The sequence below is a fragment of the Homo sapiens genome, chromosome 7 (assembly GCF_000001405.40).
Source record: "Homo sapiens chromosome 7, GRCh38.p14 Primary Assembly".
NCBI lineage: Eukaryota > Metazoa > Chordata > Mammalia > Primates > Hominidae > Homo > Homo sapiens.
The window spans coordinates 50,082,610-50,098,900 of record NC_000007.14 but is presented as its reverse complement, the minus strand read 5'-3'; the positions used below and the strand labels follow the sequence as shown (position 1 = coordinate 50,098,900).

Genomic DNA, 16,291 nt, shown 5'->3' with positions numbered 1-16,291 from the left:
GAATATACTACTTAATGTTAATTAACTATAAAGATGGTTGTGGTGAATGTCTGTATCCCCCCAGATTCGTGTGTTGAAGCCTAACTCCCAATGTGATGTTATTTGGAGGTGAAGACTTCGGGAGGTAATTAGCTTTAGATGAGGCAAATAAGGTAAGACCTCCATGATGGCATTAGTGTTAAGTAGAGGAAGGGAGACTAGAGCTCTCTCTCTCTCTCTCTGAGGATGCAAGGAAAAAGATGCCTTCTATAAACTAGAAAGAAGGTCTTTACCAGCAATCAAATATACCAATTCCATGATTCTTGGCTTCCCAGCCTCTAGAACTATGAGAAACAATTATCTGTTGTTTCAGCCACCCAGCCTTTAGTATTTTGTCATGCAAAGTGACTTAATACAATGGTTTAAAAAAAGATAGAAAGACATACAAAGTGGTATCAATATTGATATCAGGAGGCCAAAGTGGAGGACAATCAAGGAAGTGACAATAGATGAGGTCTATCTCTTCTGTGATAACAAAGACTGGATCATCTACTGCAATGAGAGGCAGAGTACTATAAAGGATCTGAATGTAATTAGAATAAGTTTAGAATTGTTAATTGGTAGATGATAAAGAGAGACAACTGGATCAAGAAAGGAAGTACTAAACTCAGTAAAAGGTCTACACAGGTTTGGAATGGGGCAAGTAGAAATCAGCAATATAATATTTTATGATTTTTCTTTGATATTTGTGAAAGTCCACTGAAGAGCATACCAGTGTGTATGTAATTAATTCTGAAATGACCGTCTTTATGAGAATGTATTAGAAATAACGTGTATTTAGGTTTGTTACATCCTGAAAGTACTTATCATTTACAATTAATTGTTTCCAGGATGTACAAAGTCATTGAAAGCCTAGGACAAATTATATTGAACTCTGTCCCCAAATTGCAGGTATTACTTTTTGAAACTCTTAATAGTTAATAATAAGAGCTACTATTAATGAAATGTTTTATCAGGTTTCAGGGATTCTGCTAAGCACTTTACAAGTGTTAATTCATTTGATTCTTACAAATGTATAAAAGAAGTAAGATTATTCCTAATTTATGTATGAAGAAACTGAAAATTTTGGACTTCTTACAATCTGACATTTATTCTTTATTTTAGGTATTTTTACATAAAATGGCCCTTACTTATTATCTTACGAAGTTTCACTCTTAGGTGAGTTTTTTTTTTTTTTTAACATAAAATGACCCTTACTTATTATCTTATGAAGTTTTACTCTTAGGTGAGTTTTACAAGTAAGGATACACAGGCATAAAGAGAATAGTAACTAGCCCTGGGTCGTACAGCAACTGAGTTTTTGCCAGAGCTCAAGGCCAGACAGTCTGAGTCTAAAGCCTGTTCTCTAAACTCCTCTGTTTCACTGATTCAGGCAGTGAAATACATGGGACAGATGAGCTCTATACTTGGTTCTGACTTGGTGGTACAAAGTCTGTTAACACCATTTTAGCCCTATGTTAGCTTTGCTAAGCCATTTCTTCAACCTATAATTTCTTAGAATAATGTTTAAAAGTATTCTTCCTATAGCATTTGGCCCTTTCCTTTTCCGATGCTAAAAATGTTGATCTTTTTACATTCCTGCCTGCCAGACAGCTTTTATACAGAAAATAGTACCTGTGGCTTTCCTTTGGAGGTGTTTCTCATCATTTAGAGGAACTCCATTTACAGGAGTTCTTACAGAGAAACCACATGGTGCAGATGTCAGTAAGAGGTCATCAAACCTGCCTCCATGGCTGTGGAGCTATTTATGCAGAGTTTGCTTCATTTCAGCTTCTGTTCTTATTGGAGCCAAAAAATGTACGTTCAAGTACTTAAATTTTTCCCATTTTATTTCAATCCTTAAAACTAACTCTTTCATAATATCAGTGAATTCATTCTTTCAAAGGAGAGAGACAGATAAGGAGGATTTCTATACAATTATCAAAGTGATACATAAATTCCCCTGTGGTAAAACAAGCTTATCCATATATCTAGAATAAATAATGTTATATACTTTGTGTTAATCACTAATGAATGTTCTTTTCTTAAAGAATAAATTTTCTTTTACAAATAAGTTTATAAGGTTTATCATTCCTTTGTTTCTTATAATCTGTAATTTAAAAATAAAACCTTTTTCAGATCATTGTAATTTTGTTAATTTAACTGCCTAAATATTGAATCTTATGTCCATACTCTCTTCCCTTGAGCATTTAAAAAATAGAAAGTTCATGTCACTTCATTTACCTCCAAGTCTTGCTCTGATAGAAATGTCTGGTACTTCCCTGGAATTCCATCTCCTGTTCTGTTGCAGTTCTTCTGATAGAATTTTTTGCCTTTTTATTGTTGTTTGAAATCCTGTGTCTGGTCTGGGAACTCGATGTTGAGGTTTCACATCACTAAAATCCACTAGGGTTGGTATGGTTCTGCCAATGCCAGGATTTAAATCAGCATCACCACCAGGACTCATAAACCCTGAACAGGAATCACCTAAGGTCACATCATCCCGAAGTGGAAATAATGGATAATGTGGCCCATATGGTGGGGGATAAGGATCATGTAAATGATAGTCTGGCAAAACTGAAGGGGGATAAGGGTGAAATTTAAGAAAAGCAGGGTTGCATTTCTTTTCAAACCTGCCATAGTTATGTCTGTTCTCAAGACCTTTCACAAAAGGCATGTTCATTTTTCTTAAGAGATCACAATAGTGTGGGTAATCTATATTCTCAACAGTTCCTGAAAGGATGGACCTTTTAGAGATACTTATCTTTCCAGGTGTGTCCTGAATTTCTACATCCATGGCCTTTTTCTTTAGAATTTTTGATAACTATAAAGTATTTCTGATAATTCCTTTATATTTAACTATATAAACTCTATTGCCAATAACTAAAGATCTGTGTTAAACTAGTATAAAATTGACACAGCTTTCTAAATGTTGGCAGATAATTTTGTTTTTCTTTTTAAGGCAAATATTTTCCTCCACCAAAGGAAGAATAGGGCAATGAAGGAACATGACATAAGGAGAATAAAGCAGAGCCCTTGTTGCCTGGCAACGGCTAGAATTCTTAACACATTGAACCATTTATTATGTACATCACAATTCTTAAGAAAAACAAAAATAGCCTTGGTACTAATATTTCCATGATACTTTTCTCCCCAGTGCTCAGGAAAGCTGTGTTCATTTACTTATTTTAAAATTTTTCCATAAGTTGGTATTTTATGGGTATAAAATATATTTAAGGAGTGTAAATAAAGCAGTTAATTCAGTGACAATACATTTCTCAAAAGTATATATGTGACTACAATTAAGTATTTATATATATAACACTTGCTATCTAATTAAATGTAAATCTAAATGCACTACAAAATATAAACATTACTAAAGTTAAATTGGTACATCTAATTTTTTTTTTTTGGTGGAGTCTCACTCTGTCGCCTAGGCTGGAGTGCAGTGGTGTGATCTTGGCTCACTGCAAGCTCCGCCTCCCAGGTTCACGCCATTCTCCTGCCTCAGCCTCCCAAGCAGCTGGGACTGCAGGCGCCCGCCACCATGCCCGGCTAATTTTTTGTATTTTTAGTAGAGATGGGGTTTCACTGTGTTAGCCAGGATGGTCTCGATCTCCTGACCTTGTGATCTGCCCGCCTCGGCCTCCCAAAGTGCTGGGATTACAGGTGTGAGCCACTGTGCCCAGCCCTAGTATATCTAATTTTTAAGAAAAACAGAAAATTATAATGAAAGTACAGGTACATCTTTACATGCCCTAAATTATCTTTACTTCCCTTAAATTTGCCATGGTGTCCAGAGTAAGAACAGTAAGAGTTTTAAGTTCATTTTAGGAAACCACAATGGGTATCAGTTAACTGTCTACACACAAAATATCATTTAAATCACTAATGTATTGGTTCACTTAAAAGCTCTTTCACCTGGATAATTTCATCTTGCATGAACTACTATAAGAGGAAATGCAAATATTAGAATTTGGGGTAAAAGTTCACATCATCCTTACTGCAGCAAAAATGTTAAAACAGGCAAGATTCTAGCTTTGAAGAGTCAGGCACATAATCGTTAATCAGGCCAACTGTCAAGGGTGATATGTTTGGTACAATCAGAATGCCTATGCCCCATTGAAAGTCTTTACAATTTTGAGATATACTATTAAACAAGTGAGATTAAATTAGGTGGTTAGGCTGTCAGTTTTAAATCCTTCATCCAGATCATAGCATATCAAGTGACAGTTTTTAGTCCACCCATGATCACTCATTTCTTCATATCAAAAGTGATAACTCACTTGTAATTAGGCATTCTACATTTAGTTGCTCAAACTTCATTCTTCAATGTATTTAAACCAACTGCTTAAGATTTATTTCTATCACAGCTCTGCTCCCATTAAGTAAATCCTTCCAGCAGCAGAAAAGTAGAGGCATGAGTCTCTTTCAATTTCTCTAAAACAAGTTCTAGCTATAAATGGCCTCTTAGGCTGTGTATGGGAAAATAATAACCCCCATAACTTTGTACTTAGAATGGATCCTTTACAAGAGACAGATTAACAAGAGAAAAACAGATGTTTATTAATATATTTCATTTATATATGAGGAACACCCAGAGAATGAGTAGTTCTCAAAGAAGCGTCTTTGAATTCCAGCTTGTATAGCATCTTCAACAAAGACTAGGAAATTTTTAGAGATGTGACAAAGGAAAAGGACTCTGAGTCTCTACAGGCAGTAACTTGGGCTAAGCAAACAAATAGCAGACAAAAGATGGTTTAAAAAAAGCTAATATTAATTCCTCTGATATCATTTCAAGGCTAATGAGGGTCTGACGCTGTCTTCAGTGGTTAACCTTTGTTCTCCCTGGTAAAGGAGTGGGGCAGGATACCTTTTCTCTTTCTAATCTATGTCTTGCTTCTGGGTAAAAAGAGGGCAGGTGGACAGCTCTCCTGCATCTGCTGGTTCTTGTCTTCAGGGCAGCAATCCTTCATATTTGAGAAGGTATATTCTGGTCTCCCACACAGGATAGATGGTTTTGTATGTTTTGCTGAATTTAGGTGACACTATAAGATGATCTTCCGGTCTATTTTAGAAAGTAAATTTCATCTATGGTTATTTCCTCTGTCCTTCCATCAAGCTTCTTTCTGAGGCTAAAGGCCTTACTTACCTTTAATTCCCACTAAGTGTGTATTGCATTTATCTCCCAATTAAGTTCCACACATCCATAAAATACTATCTGCTGACATTACTAGATCAAAGCAGTCCACTGAGGGCTTTACACGTCTTAACTCATGCATTCTCACTATCTGTTGTTCGAAACTGGGCCCCACATCTACCACCTGGCTCATAAAAAGGGCTTTTCGATCATAAACGCTATGCAAAGGTAAAAGCACGGGATTTGGGGCCCAACGATTCTCTCTCAGCTCTAGGATCTTGGACAAATCACTGATGTTCTTGAGGATGCCCTGCGTGGCTGTGTTGTCCTGAAGGCCCGGGGGCTGCACAGCACAGTTGGCGCGTGTAGGCCCCACCAGCTATGTGGAGACACAGGCTGACCCCTAGTCTACCACCCCGGCGGAAGTGGGAGCACGTCCATCAGGTCCGTTGTTCCGGTCCTCCGCCCGCCAACTTCCGGCTGCAGGTGGGCGCGCGTTGCCTAACGACCTTCCGCGCGGACGGTGGGCAGGCGACGGCGGCGTGTGGATGGAGGCCTTCGCCCTTGGCCCAGCGCGGCGGGGCAGGCGGCGGACCCGGGCCGCCGGCTCCCTGCTCTCTCGGGCCGCCATCCTCCTCTTTATCTCCGCCTTCCTGGTGCGGGTGCCCTCATCAGGTGAGGGTCCGCGCCGCCCTGCCGGCTCCGCAGGGACAACCGCAGCTTCCCCCACTCTTCGAATTGCCTTTTCTTGTGTCACGTGCATCCGTTTTATATAGAGACACCTTGCTCACTAATACGTGACAAGAAAGGCTTATTTTTTATGGAAGTCGTACAAAGTCACTCTGCATTTGCATAGAGGAGTGAATGACAGGAAATTAAGGTATAGATGGATCACTACGTCACCCACAGTTGAAGTTTTACAATTAAATTGCTTTGTTGATAAACTCCCCAATTCAGTCCATGGGTCATCTGCCAGGTTTGCATTTCAGTGTGTGAACTCTGTAATGATGAGATCAGTGTCTTTCAAATAGGCAACCTGCTGCTTTCAAATTATCCGTGATGGTGGAGCGCCATCTATTGGTTTTAGCTGTGAAATACAGGAAATAATGCGATTTTAAAGTTTTGACCTCTAAAGAATTGAAGTACTTTTCTATACTGTTTTAAAAATACATGTAAGATACTGATGAACAAACACTGACGAAGGATGTGAAAGTTTAATTGAACTGTTATTTAACTAGAAAGGTTTTGGCTGCATTCTAGACTCAAAATTCTAGACCCAAAATTGATAAAATCACAGAGATTTGCTTCAAATGAAAAAAGTTGTTCAAATAAGGAATAATGAAAAAAAGAAGTCCTCCAAGAATATAAATGTAAAAGGTTTGTGGAGGTAGGTAGGGGATAGGGGAGGAGAAAGGAAACAAATGGAGTGAATAGAGATTTAAAAATCAAAGTCCAGGCATCAGGAATCCAAAGATTATTCTTCTATAAGTATATGAATAGCCGATAGCCATCAATTGCCATGTAGGAGAAAGATGCTTCTTGGATATGGGTCGTGGTCGTGTATTAGGTGTGAAAGGGTTTTTATTTTAAATTTTTACCTGGTGATCTTTTGATGAAATAATAAGATTAGACCTATGAGATATAAGAAATAGAATAAGCAGTTAGTATCTTGTAAGTGATGAATAGTGAAGGCCTCTTATATAGCATTTTACAATTTATACAGTATTCTCATTTTCTACAGTAACTGTAAGGATGGAATTATTATTAGTCCCATTTTACATATAAGAAAACTGAAGCTCCTAGAGTTTAAAGTGATTTTCCTAAAACCAGTAAGTGGCAGAATTAGGATTTAAACTCAAGTCCTCTGGCTTTGATACCACATCCTTTTCTTTGCACTTTGCTATTCCTGTCTGCTAAAGGCTATTTGGGTATAATGCTTTATTGCATTTTTATACTGCCCCTCACACTATTATGCCCATCACATTTGCTCATTTAACAATGAAGACTATCAGAATATGTTTCACAATTATTATTTAATATTTACAATGTGCAAGGTATAGTGTTTGATACTGATTCTTGATAAGTTAACATAAACATTGATCCCACTATCAATGGAGCTTATAATCTAATAAGGAAAATGGTATGTGTGTATCAAGAACTATAGTATAAGCCGATGTCTACAAGGGTTTTTCTGATATTATCTTCTAGAATTTTTATAGTTTCAGGTCCTAGATTTAAGTCCTTAATTCATCTTGAGTTGATTTTTATGTAAGGTGAGAGATGAGGATCCAGTTTCATTCTTCTGCATGTGGCTTTCCAATTATCCCAGCACCATTTAGGCAAAGATTTCATGTCCAAGAACCCAAAAGCAAATGCAACAAAAACAAGGACAAATATGTCGGACTTAATTAAACTAAAGAGCTTTTGCACAGCAAACGGAACAGTCAGCAGAGTAAACAGACAACCCACAGAATGGGAGAAAACCTTCACAATATATACATCTGGCAAAGGACTAATATCTGGAATCTATATCTAGAATCTACAAGGAACTCAAACAAATTAGCATGAAAAAAAACCCCAACAGTCCCATCAAAAAGTGGGCTAAGGACATGAATAGGCAGTTCTCAAAAGAAGATATACAAATGGCCAACAAACATATGAAAAAATGCTCAACATCACTAGTTATCAGAGAAATGCAAATCAAAACCACAATGTGATATCACCTTACTCTCGCAAGAATGGCCATAATCAAAAAATAAAAAAAAAAATAGATGTTGGTGTGGATGCAGTGAAAAGGGAACACTTCTACACTGCTGGTGGGAATGTAAACTAGTACAACCACTATGGAAAATTGTGGAGATTCCCTAAAGAACTGAAAGTAGAACTACCACTGGATCCAGCAGTCCAACTACTGGTGTCTACCCGGAGGAAAATAAGTCATTATATGAAAAAGGTACTTGCACACACACGTTGATAGCAGCACAATTCACAGTTGCAAAAACATGGAACCAGCCCAAATGCCCATCAGTCAATGAGTGGATAAAGAAACTGTGGTGTATGGTATATGTGTATATATATATGTGTGTGTGTGTGTGCATGTGTGTGTGTATATATATACACATATATACACATATATACGCATATATACGCATATATATACACAAATATATACACATATATATGCATATATATGCACACATATATACACACATATATATACACATATATACACATATATATACACTCATATACACACACACACACACAAACATAAATATATATATGGAATACTACTCAACTATAAAAAGGAATGGATTAATGGCACTTGCAGCAACCTGGATGGGATTGGAGACTATTATTCTAAGTGAAGTAACTCAGGAATGCAAAACCAAACATTATATGTTCTCATTTATAAGTGGGAGCTAAGCTATGAGGATGCAAAGGCATGAGAATGATACAATGGTCTTTGGGGACTCGGGGGTGGGAGAAACGGTGGGATGGGGGTGAGGGATAAAAGACTACAAATTGGGTTTAGTGTTTATTATGTGATGGGTATACCAAAATCTCAAAAATCCTTACTAAAGAATTTATGTAACCGAATACCACCTGTTCCTCCAAAACTTAAGGAAATTAAAAACAAAGAACTATAGTACAATGTAGAATGAGTGTTATTAAAAAGGTGCTGGTGATGTACTGTGGCAGATAAGAAGTGCTAAGGACAAACGAGGTTTGAAGGAGAAGGGACTTGTGATTTGGGTCTTGAATGGTGGGAGATTTGAACTTCTAATAATGAAGAGATTATTCTAAATGGCTTTAGAAAAAATCAGAGGTGAGATATAATATGGAGAAGCAGTACGTAGATTAAATTTATCAGATCATCTGAGGGGGAATAGAGTTGGAACAGTGATATCAACTGTCAGAGGAGATTGAATTATGGCTCTCCCCTTCAACCAATACCAAAGATACTGTAATAGTATATTTGAATATTTTAGAATATCTAATGAGACAAATTGTTGATCTTTTTTTTTGATAGTTGGACACTTGGTTCGATTACCAAGAGCTTTTCGCTTGACCAAAGATTCAGTGAAAATAGTGGGATCAACAAGTTTTCCAGGTATTCATAAATATATTTTCACTAATTTTTAAAAGTTATTAGCATTTGTTTAAATTTATCAGTCTTCTCCAAAAGGCTAATGCTCTTCATTTATCCTAGTCTCCTAAGGCCCTTTTCTTTCTACAGAAGTGGATTAAAGTTGTTTGCATATGGTTAGACTCATCCAGTTCTAATACTATATGCTATAACTACATAAGTATACAAAGAATAATTATTTCTAAAAGTTATCTAAAGTTGCCTGTGTGGATTTTTATTATATAATAATTAGCTATAATATTAAATGTATATAGTGCAAATATGGTAATACAAATCATACATATTTTGGATTCAAAGATTTGCAGTAGTCACATGAAGTATGGCAACTACAACTTGTTTTGGTGGTTTTTAAGTTGTGGCAAATTCACATGCCATAAAATTCTTCCTTTAAAGTGCACAATTCAATTGTTTTTAGTATATTGACAAGATTAGGCAACCATTGCCCCTATGTAATTTTACAACATTTTCATCACCCCAAAAAGAAAGACCTAATCCATTATGCAATCATTCTTCAGCCCTGAAAACTACTTATCTACTTTCTGTCTCTATAGGTTTGCCTGTTCTGGAAATTTCATATAAATGGAGTCATACACTATGTGCCCTTTTGTGTCTGTCTTTCACTTAGTATGACGTTTTTGAGGTTCAGCCATGTTATAGAGTGCATCAATACTTCATTCCTTTTTAGGGTGGGATAATACTCACTTCTCTACCTATGAGTAACTCTATGTTTAATATTTTGAGGAGCTGCCAAACTATTTTTTAAAGAGCCTAAGCTATTTTACTTTCACACCAGCAATGTATGAGGGTTCAGATTTTCCAATATCCTAAACATTGTTATTATCCATCTTCTTTTTTTATAGCTATCCTAGTATGTGTAAACTGGTATCATTGTGGTTTTGATTTGCATTTCCCTAATGACTAATGATGTTGTAACTCTTCATGTGCTTTGTGGCTGTATGGATATGTCATTTGTAGAAATGCCTATTCAAGTCCTTTGCCCGTTTTTAAATTTGGTGGTTTTCTTTTTGTTGTTGAATTATAGAGTTCTTTATATATTCTATATATTGGATACATGATTTGCAAATATTTTTCCCATTCAGTGGATTGTGTTTTCACTTTCTTAATGTGTTCTTTGAAGCATATGTTTTAAACTTTGATAAAGAAGTCTAATTTCTATTTTTTATTTGGTGCTGGTGCTTCAGGTATCATATCTAAGAAATTATTGCCTAATCACTGGTCACAAAGTGTTATTCCTATGTTTCTTTATAAGAATGTTGTAGTTTTAACTCTGACATTTAGGCCTCTGATCTATTTTGAATTAATTTTTGCATATGGTGCAAGGTAGAGGTCATGCTCATTCTTTAGCACATGGCTATCGAGTTGTTTTATCACCATTTGTTGAAGCGATTATTCTTTTTCTTTGCAATTGGCTTGGCACTCGTATTGAAAAGCAGTTGGCCCCAGATGTATGGGTTTATTTTTGGACTTTAAATTCTATACCATTGATTTATATGTCTGTTCTTATGCTGATACTTTGCTATCTTGATTATTGTTGCTTATAATAAGTTTTGAAATCATTAAGTGTGAGTCCTTCAAATTTGTTCTTTTCAAGATTGCTTTGTCTTCCCTGGGTCCCTTGCAATTCCATATTAATTCTAGAATCAGCTTGTCAATTTCTGCAAAAAAGTCTATTGAGATTTTAACAGGGATTTCATTGAATCTGTAGATCAATTTTAGGAGTATTGTCGCCTTAACAATATTAAGTCTTTCAATCTATGAACTTGGGGGGTCTTTCCATTATTTCAATTTATTTAGATCTTTAATTTCCCTCAATTATATTTTATAGTTTTCAGTATGCAAGTGTTACATTTCTTCTGTTAAATTTACTCCTAAATATTTTATTACTTTCAATGCTATTGTAAATGAATGGTTTTATTTAGTTAGTTTTTGGATTGTTCATTGCTAGCATAAAGAAACACAATTGATATTTTCATACTGATGTTGTGTAAAACCGATATAAGTTTTCACCCTTAAGTATGATGTTATCTGTGAGTTTTTTGTAGATGCCCTTTATCAGGTTTAGGGAGTTCCCCTCAATTCCTAGTTTGTTGAGTTCTTTTATTGTGAAAGGGGTTGAATTTTGCTAAATGCTTTTTCTCCATGTATGGCGACGATAATGTGTTTTTTGTTCTTTATCTTGTTAATATGATGCATCACATTGATTTTTGTATTTTGAACTTGCTTTGCATTCCTGGGATAAATTCCAGTTGATTATGATGTATAATCCTTTCTTATGTTGCTAGATTTGGTTGCTAGTGTTTTTAGGATTTTTATGGCTATGTTCATAAGGAAAATTGGTCTGTAAATTTCTTGTGATGCCTTTGATTTTGGCTTCATAGAACAAGTTGGTATGTAATGACCTCCTCTTCTATCTTTTGGAAGAGTTTGTGAAGGATTGTTGTTAATTCTGTTAATTGTTTGGTAAAATTCACCAGTGAATTCATTTGGTGCTGGACTTTTCCTTTTGGGAGGTTTTTTGATTACCAGTTTAATCACTCATTTAAGGCCTATTCAGACTTTCTATTTCATTATGACTTTTTATGAGAAACTATTAATCAAAGGTTACTTGTGTGGGATAAGTTGCTTCTCTCTTGCTACTGTCAAGATTATCTCCTTGTTTATGGATTTTGTCAGTTTGATTATGATGTGTCTGGCTATGGATTTCCTTTAAGTTTATCATAATTGGAGTTAATTGAATTCTTGGATACGTGGATTCATGTTTTCAATCAAATTTGGGATTTTTTGCGATTATTAAAAAAATTCTTTTTCTCTCTCTCCCCTCCTTCAGGACTCTGATTATGCATACATTGATATGCTTAATGGTTTTTCACAGGTCTCTGAGTTATTGATCTTTATTCTTTTTTTCTTTTTCTCAGACTGGGTAATCCCATGTTGACCTATCTTCAAGTTTGCAGATTCTTCTGCCTTCTCAGTTTGCTATTGATTCCTTCTAGTTAATTTCCCATTTCAGTTATTGTACTGTTTAATCTGCAGTTTATTAAAAATAATTTTTGTATCTTTATTGATATCTTCTACTTGGAATATCACACATTCTTTATTACATTTAGACATGGTTTTCTTTGATCATATATAAAATATCTAACTTAAAATATTTATCCAGTAAGTTCAACCTAATGATCTTTCTCCAATATTTGGCCTTCCTTGGAGTCTGTTTCAGTGGGCTACCTTTTTATGCATATGGCCATATTTTCTTGGGTTTCTGCATGTCTCATATTTTTAGTTGAAAACTTGACATTTATAATAGTATAACATAGCAACACTGGAAATAAGATTCTTTCTACTTCCCAGAGTGTGATGTTGTTGCTGTTTGCTGATATCGTGTATTTGTTCAGTGAGTTTCTGAACTAACTGTGTAAGTTATGTATTCTTTATCCCATAACCACTGAAATCTCTGCTTAATTAGCTTAGTTAGGCTAATGATTGGACAGAGTTTTCATTAAACATCTTGAACTAGTTAGTCTCCTAGTCTTTGCTGAGGGTGTCTTTGTGCACGTTGTGACGTACCTTTCAGATAGTTGGCAACTCTACCTTATCATTCACTTTATGCCGTGCAGAACCTCAATTTCAGCCAAAAGAGAGAACTTAAGGCCTCTTCATCTTTACTGAGAATACAGATTGTTCTGGGCATGTACACAGTCTTTTGCATGCATGTGTCCTGCTAACTTTTTCAGGAATGTTCAGAACAAGTCAAAGTTCCTGTGGATATGACATTCCCCAGCTTTTCCTCTTAAGGTTTTTGGTTAACCTATTGTTTTCCCCAATTGTTGCTCAGTGTATCAGGCAGTCACAAAGTTAAATGAGGGCCTCTAATTGTTTTTAACGAATTCTTTTGGGGAAAAGGCTTTGTGCAGTAGGCAAAGTCCAAATCAGGTCAAGTACGGGCAGCCTTTAATACGAGGTCTTCCAGGATGTTGACTGACAGTTCGCATACTGATAGTACTCTGGGAGGGAGGCTTTGAAGGCATTCTTACCATGCCTGCCCCCTTCATTGGCTGCCAGGCTGCTGGTTCTCACTGTGATTGTAAACTGTTGGTTGTCATGGCTCCTTATTGCAGAGCTGGAGAAGGAGGCATGGGAATCAGGCACGTTAAAATACTACAAGCTCACTGTTCCTACTGATTTTAATTAGTTCCTTAGGGATGCTGGAACAAAAGAACCACAGACAGGGTGGCTTAAACAACAGAAATTACTGTCTTACAGTTATAGAGGCTAGAAATCAAAAATCAAAGTATTGGCAGAGTTGGTTTCTTCTGAAGACTTTGAAGAAAGAATCTGTTCCAGATATTTGTCTTTGGCTTTTAGATTGCCATCTTTTCCCTATCACTCTGTATCCTCTTCCCTCTGTATTTGTCTGTGTTTCCAAATTTCCCCTTTTTATAAGGAGATCAGTCATATTGGATTTGTACTCAGCCTGATGACTTCATTTTAACCTGACTTCCTCAGTAAAGACTATTTCTAAATAAGTTTATATCCTGAAGTACTGGAGATTAGGACTTCAACATATTAATAAGAGAGGGAGGACACAATCAACCCATAAATCAGATCCAGTTGTTTTTCTAGAATAAATGTTTTCTGGATTGCTGTATTTGATTAATTTTGAGTTTGAGTTCTGGAAATGTTTTTTCTGATAATTTCTACACTTTTCCTCATGACTTTTATGAAGGAGGTAATTTTTGGAGTTCCTTATTCTGCCATTTGTATTGATCTCCCCAATGACAACTTTTAAAGCTGAATTATAAAACGTTATCTGGGTAACTAATTTCCCTTTCATTTTCTTTTATTGTATAATATTAAATTTATTCTTAAAATAGATTACCATTCCAATTGACTAGGTAGTTCTTATATCACTGAGTAGATTATTATATGATATTTCATTGGTTTTGGCCCATAATATACTGACTGCATGATTTTTTGTGCCCACCATTTCTTCTGTCATGTAAGGTCTTGGCATCTGTCTGTGTTGGCCACTTTTCAGATTTGTGACCCTCTTTTTAACTCGTTCGCCTTTTACATATTCTTTTCAGTTCAGTTAGTTTTCCATTTTCATTAATTCATGTATTAATTAATTCACTGAGCCTTTATTTACATTTTGTTGAACTTTTAGTTTATTCTGTTTTTTTGGTGTATGTAATAAATACCATTTTGTATTTTTTTTTTTTTTGGTACATGTTCAGAAGTTTTCTGGGACTGTATTATCCAGGAGAAGAGGTTTTAGCATCATAGGACCTGAGCATTCTCATTCTCACTAACTTTGCTCTTCAAAAAGGCTGCACCAGTTCACACTTCCTTCAGTGGTGCTTGAGGGGGTCCCATTTTCCCACATCCTTATCAGCACAAAATTTTACCCAACTTTTTCCATTTTTGGTAAGCTGAAGATTAAGTTGCCTCTACCCATTCTTTTCTTTGTTGTTTTCAAAGGAGTTCTTTTTCATATTGTTTATATTCCAGTTATAAATGCATTATTAACTTTGTTGCAAATATCCTCTCCCTACAGTCAAATTTGTTAACTTTGCCTATGTTATACAGGATCAAACAGAAAGTGTTACCATTTAAGAAGTTGAGTTCAGTATTTTTATATTTGTGCTTTTTGCATTGAGATAATTTTCTATAACTGGTTCAGACATAAAGGTATTATTTTCTTTAAATAATTACTTGCCTTCAGTTATTCAGTGTACCTGGAATTTATTTTTATATACGGTAAGAGGTATAAATCTAAGTTTACATTTGCATGTATTTTGAGATAACTTTTAACTATAATTTATTGATAATCTATATTTTCTCCAGTGATTTTAGGTACCTTGTCTACCACATATATATCAGTTATTTATGCCAATTTGATTTTTTCCCTAGACCCATTATTTGTTCCTACACCAGGCCTCTCTTTTTTTATTTAGTGTAAATGTTAATATATCTCAGTAACTCTTATTGCTAGTCCCTCCTCTTTGCTTTTCTGTTATAGAATTCTTTCAGATATTTATGAAGCTTTAATCTTCCAAATGGATTTTAGAATCAGTATTGAAGAGCTTCTTAAATAATTTCTTCTGGGATTTTGCTTATGTGTTGATAAATAAATTTGGGAATAAATTGACATCTTTAAAGTTATGTGTATGCAGTCATGATTATGGCATTTTGGTCTAATTTTATGTCTTTTGTTAGAGCCTGAAGATGTTTCCCACAGAGGTCTTACTTGATTATAGAGTGACTTTTGTTTATTGTACTCTAAATATTATCTTCCTTCCTATAAAATGGTTTAATGCATTATTGTTGATGTAGAGGAATATTATTTGTTTTTGTATGTTGATCTTGCATTGGGAAACTCTTCTGGATTCATTTATATTTGCTGTGAAATAGGTACAGGGGTTAGTGGGGGCGAGAGGAAGGGTACAGTCATGGTATGAGGTACTGTCAAGCCAAAGCACAAAGGATATACTTATGCTGAGTCTCCAAAGATGAGGAGGAATTTATATCAATAAAATCACAAAAGAATGATGCTGTGTGCTGCTGTGGCGTGGTTAGGGCAGAGGGTGTGAAAAGAGGTATAGTGAGATATATGCAAAAGATCATGGAGAGTAGGGCCAGTAAATCATGCTGAGGAGTGAAAATTTATGGGGTAAGCATTTATTAAAGAAGTTAGGCAATCTATTAATGCAAGCATTTCATTAAAGTACTCAAAAAGAAAAAAATCACCTCAATCAATATAGAACAAACATTTCTTAAAATTCAGTGCTGATTTATGTTTATGATAAAAACAAATAACCAAGAACAGAGGGGATCTTTCTTAACCTGTGGAAGGGTATGTACCTAAAAGTACATTCAATAAACATCATGCTTTATGGTAAAACTTTAGAGGAAGTCTCTTAAAAGTCAAAGAGAATTTTGATTCTCTTTATTTTACTCGATCA

The 16,291-nt window shown here is 35.4% G+C and overlaps 2 protein-coding genes and 1 long non-coding RNA gene across 15 annotated transcripts in view, besides 2 other annotated features; 1 reads left to right on the top strand and 2 right to left on the bottom strand.

Annotated features, from left to right (window-relative positions):
• The window catches only part of SPMIP7 (sperm microtubule inner protein 7), a 63,374-nt gene extending 60,356 nt beyond the window's left edge, over positions 1-3,018 (bottom strand). For all 3 annotated transcript variants that reach the window (NM_001161834.3, XM_011515052.2, XM_011515053.3), the window contains exon 1: positions 2,263-3,018. In NM_001161834.3, the coding sequence (NP_001155306.3) occupies positions 2,263-2,815 (553 nt within the window). In that variant the 5' untranslated portion in view covers positions 2,816-3,018. The remainder of the gene's footprint in view (positions 1-2,262) is intronic.
• Positions 3,019-4,559: 1,541 nt separating this feature from the next.
• Positions 4,560-5,622, bottom strand: LOC124901630 (uncharacterized). The gene is made up of 2 exons (XR_007060321.1): positions 5,171-5,622; positions 4,560-5,086 (listed from the first exon to the last, which is right to left on the bottom strand). It is a non-coding gene; the product is annotated as an uncharacterized LOC124901630 (long non-coding RNA).
• Positions 5,562-5,721: a silencer, noted in NCBI's record as "silent region_18176". NCBI's record gives its function as "represses an Ori minimal core promoter by ATAC-STARR-seq in GM12878 lymphoblastoid cells {active_cell/tissue: GM12878}" and the evidence as "EXISTENCE:reporter gene assay evidence [ECO:0000049][PMID:35858748]".
• The window catches only part of ZPBP (zona pellucida binding protein), a 252,593-nt gene continuing 241,956 nt past the window's right edge, over positions 5,655-16,291 (top strand). For 10 of the 11 annotated variants that reach the window (XR_001744543.2, XM_011515097.2, XM_011515100.3 and 7 more), the window contains exons 1-2: positions 5,655-5,833; positions 9,192-9,272. Coding sequence is in view for 9 of the 11 variants with exons in the window: in XM_011515097.2 (XP_011513399.1) it covers positions 5,707-5,833; positions 9,192-9,272 (208 nt within the window). In the remaining 2 variants the exon portion in view is untranslated. Of the gene's footprint in view, positions 5,834-5,879; positions 6,039-9,191; positions 9,273-16,291 lie in introns of those variants that run through there. The other variant, XM_011515102.3, reaches the window with a different exon arrangement.
• Positions 5,802-5,851: a silencer, noted in NCBI's record as "silent region_18175". NCBI's record gives its function as "represses an Ori minimal core promoter by ATAC-STARR-seq in GM12878 lymphoblastoid cells {active_cell/tissue: GM12878}" and the evidence as "EXISTENCE:reporter gene assay evidence [ECO:0000049][PMID:35858748]".